The following is a 13,484-nucleotide window of genomic DNA, read 5'->3' as shown; positions in this document are numbered from 1 at the left end:
CTGTCTGTGTATGTGCAGAAAGCAATAAATATCACACTGTTTTTTACATTAATTTCGTGACTTACTCTCAGGATACGATATTCTATAATTGAAAAAAAAAAACCCTCTAGAGTCCAGTGGAAGTAGAGTAAGCTCACTGCATTGGAACGGTGGCTGCCTCTCCATCATGACTCATTTTCTGCAGGAGGCCCCTCTACGGGCAGCCCTAAAAATCTGCAGACACCACCGTCGAGGCACCAGGCTCCAGCACCCGCCCCATATGGTTTCCTGTGCAGCAGCCTCTTCCAAACTACCTGTTTCTATCCACGATCCTGCAGTCCAGGCCTGCTCTGTTGGAGCCCTAGTCACCTTGCGTTCCTCTTTGTCTTTCTCCCTCACAGCGACATTTTCTGCCAAGAAGATGGAGGCTCCATGCTTCCTAAGGCAACAAAAACAAAACTGATAAACTAATTTGGGCTGGTGGGAAACAATCTAGGAATAGGTCAGATGCGTTTATTTGATCAAGGCCTGGAGTGTAGTGATGAGGAAGCACATGAAGACCCAGCAAGGAAGGCAGGGGTCTGTCTCCCCTGGGGCCTGGGCAGGGTGCTTTGGAGGACGACCAGCCCTGGCTGCAGCCACCATGTCACATCACAGCATGCTCAAGGCTCCATCTCCCAGAACCAGAGCCAGCGCAGGTTTCTGGGGCAGAAACAGAACTCACACCTCCAAACTTCACTTCCTAGAAGCTCCGAGCCCAAATCAAATGTCGAGTGCTGTCCAAGGATTGGGGGAGAGTGCACAGAATCTCTATCTTCTGGTCCAGAAAGACCCTCATGAAAAGAGCCAGGAAAGAGCAGTGGCTGAGCGACCTAAGAAATGAGCTGGCCGGATCCCCTCGTTTTGCAGATAAAGAAACCGAGGCTGGATGAAGTAAAGTGGCCTGCTCAGGGGTCCTGGCTAGTTAGTGGCAGAGCAAAGGCCGAAACCTTGGCCTCCTCAGCTTCCATTTGGCACCTCTGAACCTGTTGGTGCTGAGCTGCCGTAGTCACAGTCCGGTTATAACAGTTGATGTAAAGCTGAAAGTTTGGGCATCATACTGGAATTGTCTTCACTGTCCTGGCAGCCCCTTTCCTGGTTGCTCTGTATCTGGTTGGGAAGGATTAGCGAAGTGAGCCATGTAACTAAGAAGGGATATTTTTAGTAAAGGCGAGGAGGACAGAAAGTAGGTAGAAGCATCATTTTCCTGCATTTGAAGTGTACCCTCAGACGCATGAAAATGGGCCTCAAATCATCTAAGTGGATGATTAGTTATACCTATGAGACATTATTCCAGTCTACCCATCAAGGAGAGGGAGGAAAGAACAGCTACTTGTCAAGATCTACATGAATAGAATCTTAGAAAGGAAAGGAAAGAATTAATTTCCCCCATTAACACAAGACATTACGTTCAGACACACATAGTCCTTCATAATTGTCAAAACCTCTCTTTCCTCCCCATCACCAAGCAGCTAAAGCACAGTGACAGATGAGAGCTACCTTGAAATTGTCATGGTGTCTCTATTTTTGTGTGTGGACTGTCAAGACCTCAAATAAAGCCAGTGTGGCCTGGGCCAGCTCTGCAGGGACCTTATGCTCCTTTGTGGGACAGTGACCCTGAGCTCCTGGGTTGGAACTCAGTCCATCAATGCCATGATTATCAGATTTCCAGAACTTAAGGAATTATTTGGGTTCCTTAGTCATAGACCATATTGCTAGGTGATGAAAGGTTATAAAACATTAAAATGGATAGTGACCTTGGAGGTCATCTGATGCAATTTTTGTATTGACAGAAAAAATAATTGTGGTTTGAAGGGCTGAAAACACTTACTGAAAAATCACATATTTGTGACAAAACTGGGATTAGATCCTCGGTCTTCTGATCTCAAATTCAGTGGTTTCCTCCTTGAGTTCTACTGTTAGCATGAGTCACAGAAGGTCATATAAAGTGACTTCTTGGGTGACTAGGCTAAGAAGGGAGGCTAGCAAGACAGATGCCTTTGGTGAGAAGTCAGCTTATCATAGTCTGAGGTAGATGGTAAGAGGGAGACAGACTTGCCTAGAATAGCACAAGGTGCAGATGAGGAGAGCCCTTGCCAGCTAAGTTTTCAAAGGGACCCCTGCCCCTAGTGGAGACTTCGCCCCTTGAGTGCACAGCTCCTGATCCTTTCCTCTCAGTGCACACTAGGGCTCAGTGCATGAGCAATGCTATCTCCTCGTGATACTTCAGAGCTCAGACCTTTATGCTCTGCGAAGTGTGCAGGATGTCTCTGGTTGTGGCTTGCATGCCAATTGTGCTGCCTGGGTTAGTGGGTACTTTGCCTACAAGCTAATACAAGTATTTTGAAAATATTGATGAATGCTGATGGTTGGCATCATTGTTAAACGGCTGTGATGCCAGGAACTAATATAGGGAAAGGATAAAAGAGACAGCATCAAATAAAAGGAAAGAAAGAGAGGAAGTAAGAAGAGTCAGGCTGCATCAAGGCTTCATCTGCAGGAACTGAGCTGTGCTGTTCCTCAAAAGGGCATTTCCCCAATACCCTGAAAAGACCCTAGGACTATTTCTTTCAGTGCTCTGGGCCATCCCAACCACTTCAGAAAGGGGCAGGTCTGGTACTTGGTCTGCCAGGACTTTGAGCCAAGAGCCCTTGAGCCCTTGCTGGCTTTCCTTCTCCTGGGGGCTGCAGTGCTGATTCCCTCTCTGGTTGGCTTAGGCTCCAACCAGCTGCAATTGTCTGTCTTCCAGAGAAGAGTATAGCTGATGAGCCTGGAGCTCTGGGAGAAAGAGAGCACACAGAATCTTTCTTGACCATCAGTCCAGCAGAGTCCTACATTGGAGCGGCCACACCCTATTTGGTCCTAAGCCACTGCCTCTCTTAAGAAGGTTGAGTGTTGGGCCTGCCCCAGGCACAGAGTAAGATGTCACCAGTAGCTAAGGCCCTAGGGCCTGACAGCAGACCTTTCAGTAGGCTAGGAGTATGTCGGCCACCTGGTTTATGATCCAGACCAGTGTACTTTAAAGAATGAAAGGTGACAGTTAAAAAGTACACTGTCGACCGGGTATGGTGGCTCACGCCTGTAATTCTGTCACTTTGGGAGGCCAAGGCAGGTGGATTGACTGAGCTCAGGAGTTCGAGACCAGCCTGGGCAACATGGTGAAACCCTGTCTCTACTAAAAAATACAAAAAAAAAAAAAAAATTAACTGGGCATGGTGCATGCACCTGTAGTCCCAGGTATTCAGGAGGCTGAGGCAGGAGAATTGCTTGAACCCAGGATGTGGAGGTTGCAGTGAGCCAAGATTGCGCCACTGCACTCCTGTCTGGGCAAGAGAGCGTGAAACTCTGTCTCAAAAGAAAACAAAGTACATTGGGAAGACAGGTGTCAACTGGCACTATCCCAGGAAAACCTAACTATGGGTCCACCCAGCTCAGGAAAACAACAAAGGCATTCCTGACACTGCTATACGAATAAATTAATCCTCAGGGAAAACAAGTCAGACGCAGTTGGCATTAGAAGGAAAGTTTTAATTCCCCCAAAGGCAAGCAAAGGGCAAAGGACTTACTTTGATGTTGTAACTAATTGAAGGTTTTGTATACTGCCCATCTGCTGGCAGATGCCAGCCCTGTAGGTCTGCTTTGGGCTCAAGAAGCCACTTTGCCAAAGCGCCCTTAGGTAACACAGTATTGGCAGTCCACTGACCACGCCAGGGCACAAGACACTCCTATACTACAAAAATACAGCCTTCTTGAAGAAACTGGGCCTGGGTGACTGGCTGTGCTTGAGTAGGTTGCTGCAGACAAGGTTAAGGCAACTTTCTTTAGACATTGTAAATGAAAGAGGCAGTGTCTCCTTCCATGCATTGATCAGGTTTCTAAAAAAAATGCTGTCGTTTAATTATGAAGGTTTTTTTTTAAAGCAGTACTTTTACTTCTCAGAACTCATTTCACTTTAGCTTGTTGATACTAAAGTAACCCTGTTGGTTTAGAATCCAAATAATCATAATCATAAGGGGAAAATGTGTAAAATAAATAAAAACTTTTCAAGTGTACTTAAACATTTTGTCAATAACTTAGCTGTTTAAGCTCTACTATGTAAAAATAATGATTTTTCTCCTTCTACCCCTGCATTCTTTGGGTCTGAACTGTTAGTTTCAGTTTATTTTTTATACTTTTTAGAATAAAAATGCTAGCGACTTTTTTTGGCCCAAATAGGCTACTCTGCTCATCAAATGGATTTAAGCTTCTATCCTCAGTCATTTGTCTGCCTGTATGGAATTCTAGTGTTTTGCATCCTCATTCTCTCTCTCTCTTCCTCCCTCCCTCCCTCCCTCCTCTGCCTCTCTGTCTAGCTCCTCTCTTCCTTTTCTGGCACACATACTGCACTTTCATTTAAAGGGAATGTGCCACATCCTCACAGGTACCCTGGCTGTTTCTGTGACACTCACTCAGAACCACTCCCAATGAGTCAACAGTATCATCCAGATCCTAAAAATGTTGTGTCTTGATTCTTCCCACACATAATGAACCCATCTCAAAAAAAAAAAAAAAAAAAAAAAAAAAGACACAAGCAGAGCCAAGCTAAACACACCTCTTCACTGTGCTTTGGAAAGAAGCCTCTTGTCTTCATGCTCTTCGTTTGACTATCTGGGGATCTCTAGCTGCTGGAGACTGACCTGGCTATCACCACCCTACCCCACCACAAGATTTCTTTTTCCTGACCCACCTACAATAAAGCTGCTGCTGTTGACATCATGATGGTATATTTTTCATAGAAGCTGACAGTTGACAGGAGATCTGAGCACACTGTAAGATGTGCACATCCTCATACACTCCTTGGCTCTGAATGACTTCTCAGCAGAGGAAGCCTGGGAGCATACATGTGTAACTGGAACTTGGAAAATGAAAGCAACAGGAGTCCTCAACTTACCAACCCTGAATTCTCACCCCTGACTGTACATTAGAGTCCCCTGGGAAGTTTTAGAGGATGCTGGTGCTGGGACCCCTCACCCCAGACCATGTTCACCATCCATAAGCATGAACACAAGAGTCTATTTTTAAAGTGCTCCTTGGGTAAGTCTCATGACCCCCCAGGGATGAGAACATCTATTTTAGGTGTATCCTCTTAAACCTGATTTCAGAGAGTTTCCTTGCCATCCCTTCTTCTGCCTCCACCTACAAGACAAAACCCTTTAGGTCCTCTCCTCTTTAACTTTTCCCGGTAAAGAGTTCAAGAGCCCCAGTGTATGAGAGTTTCTCTTTGGGGACAGTTGTACTGGAGGAGTCACTTGAGTCCTTTTGTCTTTGTGTCATCCTCGGCTACTCCCGGTCTGACAGTGAGGGGCATTAAACACTTCCATCATTCTCACACATGCATGGAAGGGAGGATCTAGAAAACTCACCCCTGCCAGGGAATTCCTCTGAGCCCCCAGCTATGGAGATCTTTATTAATGTACTCCTTCCCCCACTGGAAGCACAGTTAACTTTCACAGTAACACATTGATCTTGTGATTAGCCAACTTACTGTCAGCCTCAGGGAAGGCAGCCAGCATGGCCGCCCTGGATGGGGGCAAGCCACTCCTCCCGCAGAGGAGGTCCTGGTGGCCACAGCCTGAGAAAGGTTTCTGAGCCCAAAACAAAGAGCTTCTGTCACCGCCAGCAAGTGAGACATTGACCAGGCGCTTGGCCTCCAAACCAAAATGACTTTAGCACAATTCAATTGCTTGTGTTAATTAAAGGAAAATGAAACAGTGGGTTTATCACACTTTTCATTAACTCCAATGCAGCAAAGGTAACAAATCTGGAAGTTGGGAGCAGGCAAGGATGCAATGTACTGCTGTCCACATTCCTTGGTTTAATTAAGGAGGGCGGGCTCAGAGTTGCTTGTTGCCAGTAGGGTTCTAAGGAGAGTCAAGGATTGGAGGTTGGGGCGGGGGACGGAGTTGGGGACAGAAAATGTGGGGCAGAGCCTGGCAGAAAGAGAGTGGATTAAATAGGAGAGGGAGAGGGGGAGTTCTGCAGGGATTAAGTTTTCAAACCTAGCCATCAGGCATAATGTGAACACATACTGTGGGCTTAGCCTACGTTAGCTGCTGTAATGAGTTAAGGAAGTAGAAGATGTGACATCTACTCAGGGTGCTTGCAACTTGGACAATGGACTAGGAAGAAGGGTAAACAGTACAAGACTCAGGTTATATGAGCCATACTGGGTCCCAAATGCTAAAACTCTACCGTAATTCCAAATTCATGCATGTTTCTGATGTGTATCCTTCAAAAGAAGGGGGCTCTCACATCAGGAGGTATGTGATGGAGAAGGATGCCAGGAGATCTCTAGGATAAAAGGAGAAGTCCTATTCATAACCCTCACAGGTTTCTAGAGGGCAGCTTTCCTCCACCCTGTCCACTCTTTGCCTCCCCCATGGGAGGCGGGTGACCAACGTCATGGTGAAGTGGTTGCTTGGGCATTTATTGGGCCTAGTTAAGAAGACATAAGGCTGCCATCTAGAAGTGAAGGCATTACTCCTGTGTCTCCATCCCCTCCCTGGCCTGATACCTGGGTCTGGCGTCCTCCTTACCCCAGACTCTGCATTGCGACACAGCTCATACTCTCGGGTCCACTTTGAGCCTGTGACTGAGTACTAAAGTCAAGCATTCTACTGTGCAAGTCCCACTGTCTCTAATTCTCAGAGAGAAAGGCAAGAACCTCATGTCAGCCTTGGATCCCAAGTGGGGATTGTAGCCCAGCGGATGTTTTGATCTGCTCATAGCTCAGTTTTGTGATTATGTTCTATTAGCCAAAATCCTGGAGGGAAAGAAAGATGAGTGATAGGATTCAGGCACATGTCTCCTCAGGAACTTTTGACAGTCTGTACCTTTCCCTGCACATATCAAGGACAAGAAGCAGTGGGGAGGAGGTGGTTTCAGACAGCCTTATCTCCTTCCTGTGGTCTATCTTACTCCAGATGTCCATGACAGGATGTCCAGCAGATATTTACAAACATGGTTCTTCCCTTACAGAAGTAAAATCTGTGTTCCTTGACAGCTTGAATTGTGACCTAGCTTTTGAGAGTGGGTAAAAGGCTTGTTTCTAAGATGGTTCAGGCAGCCTAGTTGTGGCCTTACAGGCCAGAGGCATGCACTTGGTCGTCAATCACCTGGACATTTGATTCCAACTTTGCAAATTCAGTGTTGATCAGGATCGTCTGTAATAGTCTCTCTTGCTGGGCAGCAGGGAAACTCCTTTTCTTGTTTTCCCAGAAACCCAACCATGTGAGCCAAAAAGACCCCTGGGTGGCCACCCTCTGCCCACTCCCACTGGCTTCCTTCTGGCAGCTCATTTCCCTCTTGCTTTCTTGCTCCTCCCACTTCCCCTTCCCCACACCTTGTCCTCCCTGTGTGGCTGCCTCCTGAAACCCTAGATCCTCCTCACTGCTCTCATCTCCTGTTGTTCTTTTCCTTGGTGGCACAAGCCCCCAGAAATGTTGCTCTCTGTGTTACCTCCTGGCTGGTCTGGTACATGCTGCAGCAGTTGCTGGCATTTTATCTCAGCGCAGCTTCTGCAGGTAGAGCCATGCCCTAGACAGCAAACCTAGAAGGACAGTCAGGGTGGAGATGCTTAGAGGTGACTTTTAATCATTCCAAATGGAGAAACCAGATGGGGATTGCCTCAACACCAAGTTTTTTTTGTTTTGTTTTGTTTTTGCATACTGTGAATAGACCAACAAAGGGACAGGTCACCTGTTTAGCCTGTTCTTACGCTGCTAATAAAGACACACCCGAGACTGGGGAATTTATAAAGCAAAGAGGTTTAATCGACTCACAGTTCCACATGGCTGGGGAAGCCTCACAGTCATAGTGGAAGAGCAAGGGACATCTTACATGGCAGCAGGCAAGAAGCTTGTGCAGGGGAACTCCCATTTATAAACCCATCAGATCTCATAAGACTTCTTCACTACCAAGACTACAGTATGGGGGAACTGCGCCCATGATTCAATCATTTCCACCTGGCCCTGCCCTTGACACGTGGGGATAATTACAATTCAAGGTGAGATTTGGGTGGGGACACTGCCAAACCCTATCTTCACCTCCTAAAATTGTCCCCAGAGGTATTCAGAGAGAAGATAAGATATTTTGTCAGGACTTTGTATAATCCAAAAAAGTGGAAGGCTAAAATCTTTGACCCCTCATGGTTCTTTTAACTTTATAACTCTAAGGAATTGGCTGAGGCAATAAACAGGAAAATTGGATGCAAGATTGATGGCTGAGATATCGCTGGCACAAAAGGACATAAAGGGAGAAAGAAAAGAGAAGTCGGTCAGGAAGCCCCCATATTTTGCTCTGGATTTCCTGTTTGATCTTTTTCATCCCCAAATAGTTAGGTTTCTCTCAGCTCTAATAAATCTGTTTGACTCACTACACCTTACTTGAGGCATCTAGAAATGACAAAGAACTAAAAAATTGAGCCTAAGATACAGAAAAATATAAACTGCTTTGAGTCCTGGCCCCATGAGATTGCAGACTATGCAAGGTGAAGATCCTTGTTTTCCATATTGTCTCTGCCCCCATTCCCTCACCACAGCGTCTGACACAACACCTCGCTCATCCTGGATGTGAGCAGAATAAGTGCAGTGAGGTCAGAGCCAGCAGGCCAGCCAGTGGTCCTTCTCCCCTGAGTTGTTTTTCTGTCTGTTCCTCCATTTCTAGCAGAACAGACCCTGCTTGTGGATGTTTCATGCTCTTTGTATTCTGTGACTGTGCTGTTGGAATGTGTGTCCCTACTGAAAAAGCCCCCTTAGATCCACAGAACCCTGAGGCTTCTGCTCATCCTATCCCCAAGGATGCAACCTGCATCTGAGGCAACAACCCCCACATCCCCGGATGAATGGCCTCATTTGTATTTTTGCAGATCTTAATTTTGCTAATGCAGTGAATTGAACTCATCTTCTTTGAGGCACTCTTTCCATGGAAACAGCCTCAGTTTTTACATATTTCTTCCAGTGATTCAGAATCTGCTTTCTGTTGCTTCCAACCTTGTTATATTGGGATGCTGGAGTGCTTAGAGCAGGTTCATAATGCCTCTGGGTTATTGTCTTACTACAGGACATTTTGCTATAAAGCAAAACTGTTGAGCAGACTTGCAGTTCCTGTTTGACAAGGAAAATATTGCAGTCTTACAGCCTTTTTAAAAAAGTCCTTGGTGGGCCGGGCGCGGTGGCTCACGCCTGTAATCCCAGCACTTTGGGAGGCCGAGGCGGGCGGATCACGAGGTCAGGAGATCGAGACCATCCCGGCTAAAACGGTGAAACCCCGTCTCTACTAAAAATACAAAAAAATTAGCCGGGCGTAGTGGCGGGCGCCTGCAGTCCCAGCTACTTGGGAGGCTGAGGCAGGAGAATGGCGTGAACCCGGGAGGCGGAGCTTGCAGTGAGCCGAGATCCCGCCACTGCACTCCAGCCTGGGCGACAGAGCGAAACTCCGTCTCAAAAAAAAAAAAAAAAAAAACAAAAAAGTCCTTGGTGAACACATCTTCAGAATCTTTCCAATGGCTCACAGGCCATCTTGCTTACCCCACCTCTGTCTTTCTTTCCTTCCTCCTCCCTCTCCTTCCTATCCTATCCTGTTCCTCCCTCATCTGTTTCTCCCTGCCCGTTTTCCTTCCTTTAACTCATAGTCAGCAATTTGGTTTCCTGGCAGCTAGTAAAGAGGATTAAAACATTGATTGCCTTCTGCCCCATTATCTGCAGCATGGAATCAGAACTTTACATTGCAACCAGAACTGGAGAGGGCAGCCCTACAGCTTCCTAGGTCTCCAGGCAAGTAGCAACCTAGATTCATTCTGCTTTAAAAATTTCACCCAGCATTCAAAGTAGTTAAGAAAATAACAGGTAAGTCACCTTCACTGAGTCTGAGATGGAGAGAAGTTTCAACAACATTTTCCCTTTTTCAACGAAGAAACATGTTTTGGTGAGGATGCATGTTATGTGGGAAGATCATGAAGAATCCATGCATCCTGATTCTCAGCCTCAGTGTAGCCAGCCTACTGAGCCCTAAACTCCAAGAACAGTGAGTCCTTGGAGGGGCAGGCTCCACAAGGGTCTCAGCCTGAGGGGCTCTTAGTATATTTTCCTAACACACTGACCCTAGAAGACTTCACGTGTGTGGGTGGGAGAGAGCCCACGAACAGCGCGGCACAGTGCATCACAGCTTCACTGCTCAGGGTGGGGGCCCCGGCCCAGCCATGGAGGCAGCCCCTGGGCATGTGTCAGAAACGTGGAATCCCAGACTCCACTCCAGACCTACTGGATCAGAATCTATATTTAAAAAAAAAAAAAACTCTAAAGAATTTATATGCAAATTAAAATCTGAGAAGCACATTGTACAAACTTGACAAAACTCATTTTCTCACTTAATGAGGTAGTATTATAACGATCCCCATTTTACATGAAATGCACTTTTTCTTCCTTCCTTCCTTCCATTTCTGCTGTTGCATAACTGGTCCCATAAAAACAGCATCACAGACAGTGAAAACAAATCCCACATTCCAGAAGTTGCCATGTCATCTGGTAATTCCACTGGAAGGATGCAGGACCTGTCTTACCCATGTAAATGCACACGGGCCTCCCCATTCTGTGAAACCATCCCCTCCCTACGTGTAGGTCAACATTTCTAAGTCTACTGGCATTCATGGATCTCATTTTATCTGAAGCTTTTAAGGCATCTGGCTGAGGTCCACCAAGCAGCATGATCTGGGTCTTTCTTCTCTCTAAGGAAAGGGGAACGTTGACCCTGCCTGAGACTCTAGCCAGGCCCTCAGCAGGTAGCCCATGTGTTTGGTTAAATGCAATGCAATTTAATTACTCATGGCAAAATCCTCTGTGGTACATTTTGAAAAAATAATGGAGTCATCGTAGTAGAAATCCAGGCTTCTCATTCTACCACATTTATTTCTTTCAGGAAAAAAAAAAAAAATGGCGAGGTGTCTGGAACGTCATTTTGATGTGTTTGATTCCATTGTTGTTTAATCCTTAAAAAGGCTTAGATTGATCAACTAATTTTTCTTTGTTAAATTTCATTTAAAAAGTAATCTCAGAATCCCTTTCACTATGATATTCTGTTAGCCTATAGAGAAATAAAGGGAGTAGGGCAAGAAAGTGTTTGCATAACCGTAATGCACCTTGAAGAGTTAGTGTATGAACTAGCCTGGATCATTATGTCTGCTGTGGTAGAGGCTTTTGATCCAGTAGCACCATCCAGCAAATGCCGGCTTAACCCAGACCCAGGTGGCGCATGCTCTGGAGTTTCTTTCTTGAAATTGTCTAAGTTCCCATCTGGTGGCTGGAACCATCGGGGGTGAGCAGCATCATTCAGGAGAGACGCTCAGATCCTAGGCTGGGAGCATGTGGGTCACTATTTCAGACCCCATTTCTTCAGTCTGGGGATCTTTCACCCTGCACCCTTCAGCCACTTCTTATGTGGGTCCACCCAGATTTCCCAATGACTCTGAACCTCACATCTATGGGTACATTTTGGGACCCTGTCACCAGGACCAGGTTTGAGGAGGGTAGCCAGGCAAATGGATTGCTCCCACTAGCCAATGCATTATTTCCTCCATGGAATTGCACAGATTGGACTAACAGAACGGTGCTGATTTGCAGTGACATTTCTATAAATAGATGATTGGTAGCCAGTATCCAGAGACTGATGGTACTCCCTGGGTGGGCATGACCTGGGGTAGGACATGGAGGCAGGGAAGACAACAAGAGCCAGAAAGCACATGGTCTGGGGAAATGGGTAGGTGGGTGGTGGAAGCCCCCAAGGCTTAGACTTGGAGCAGAGTCAGGGCACCTAAGTACCTGCCTCCTTACCCCCTATACCCAAGCCCACCTCCACAGACCCTTACTGCTGCACACCTTACACACTACACACTAGCCCACCTCCTCCACCTTCCTGCTGCACACCCTACACCCTGCACACTGGCCCACCTCCACAGACACCTTTCTGCTGCACACCCTATACCCTGGACACCAGCCCATCTCCACAGACACATTCCTGCTGCACACCCTACACCCTACACACTGTCCCCACCTTCCACCTTCCTGCTGCCCACCCTATACACTTGCACACCATCCCACCTCCACAGACACGTTCCTGCTCCACATCCTATGTCCTACACACTGGCCCACCCCCTCCACAGACACCTTCCTGCTTCACATCCATGGTGGACCCAAACCCATTGGATTAGAACATGCTTGCACAAGGTTGTGGCGAAAGCTCACACTTTTGTTGCCCTGAAAACTACTGTGGCCCTCAGGACTGCAGGCCTATAAGAAATGCAAATGGCTGTGCCTTATCCTTGGGCTTTATCTTGGTTTTGATGGGATCTCAGTGTTTTGACAGAACTCAGAACATTTGTGATGGAAGACAGAGGGTCTGTTGTCTTTGCACTGAACCACAGGGAGTAAGATAAGGGGTAAGGCGGAGAGGCCAGATTGTTGCAAGAACCTGTAATGGTGGCATAAAAGCAATACAAATTTTGCAGCCCATAATATTTTGAATTATAAATGACAAGTTTCACAAGTACCTGAGAATGAATCCTCCAGGGAGCTCCACCAAATTGAGTATTAAATCCACTAGGCTATTCTGGCAACCACAGATCCAGCATTTGGGGCTATCACATTTGTGTTGGCCAATGCTTATTGAGCATCTATTACAAAGCCATCGTGGGGTCCTTCCTCGTTCATTCATTCTCACTCTATCTTCTCCAACACAGGTGGAAACAAAACCAACTACTTTGCATCTATTTATATTAAAGGGTAGAATGCTTACTTATTCGTTCTACAAGTAGTAGTTTGTATTCTGCATACAAAAACATTTCTACAAATGAAAAATTAAGATGTGCTCCACAGTAACATACCCTAAAGTTATTCCATAGTTTTATTATATTATTGATCATGACAGTTCTTTTTAAAATATCAGTTTGGCAATGCACTGAAGTATTTATCATGTCATCTCTGAGTTAATTATCACAATAATCATATAAGAAAAATAATGACATGTTCTTACCAAATGCTCTAAGAAAGTTAAGTGACTTGACTGAAAATACATTGATGCAAGACTCAAGCACAGAATTTCTTTCTTCCTTTGCCGTATCTTTTGAGCAACATGATGCCCTATGTCTTTGACTTGATGTCCTACTCCATTCTGATGGCTTTTTCTCTTCCTCCTCCTACAATCTCTAGATGTGAATATGGTTCTGTCCCTGGTTACACAGTTTCCTGATTGTTTCCTGTCTGCTTCTTTCTTCCCAGAAGGCCAGGGCTTTGTAAGTGAGGATGAGTACCTGGAGATCTCTGACATCAAGCGAGACCAGTCCGGGGAGTACGAATGCAGCGCGTTGAACGATGTCGCTGCGCCCGATGTGCGGAAAGTAAAAATCACTGTAAACTGTGAGTGGACCTGCAGCCAGG

The 13,484-nt window shown here is 46.1% G+C and overlaps 1 protein-coding gene across 8 annotated transcripts in view; it reads left to right on the top strand.

Annotated features, from left to right (window-relative positions):
- Positions 1-13,484, top strand: part of OPCML (opioid binding protein/cell adhesion molecule like) — a 1,117,521-nt gene that overhangs the window by 1,081,817 nt on the left and 22,220 nt on the right. For 6 of the 8 annotated variants that reach the window (NM_001319104.4, NM_001012393.5, XM_047427032.1 and 3 more), the window contains one exon: positions 13,326-13,463. In NM_001319104.4, the coding sequence (NP_001306033.1) occupies positions 13,326-13,463 (138 nt within the window). The remainder of the gene's footprint in view (positions 1-13,325; positions 13,464-13,484) is intronic. The other 2 variants (XM_006718846.4, NM_001319106.2) reach the window with 1 other exon arrangement.

The sequence above is a fragment of the Homo sapiens genome, chromosome 11, assembly GCF_000001405.40.
Source record: "Homo sapiens chromosome 11, GRCh38.p14 Primary Assembly".
Classification (NCBI taxonomy): Eukaryota; Metazoa; Chordata; class Mammalia; order Primates; family Hominidae; genus Homo; species Homo sapiens.
This window is presented reverse-complemented; position numbering and strand designations above follow the sequence as displayed.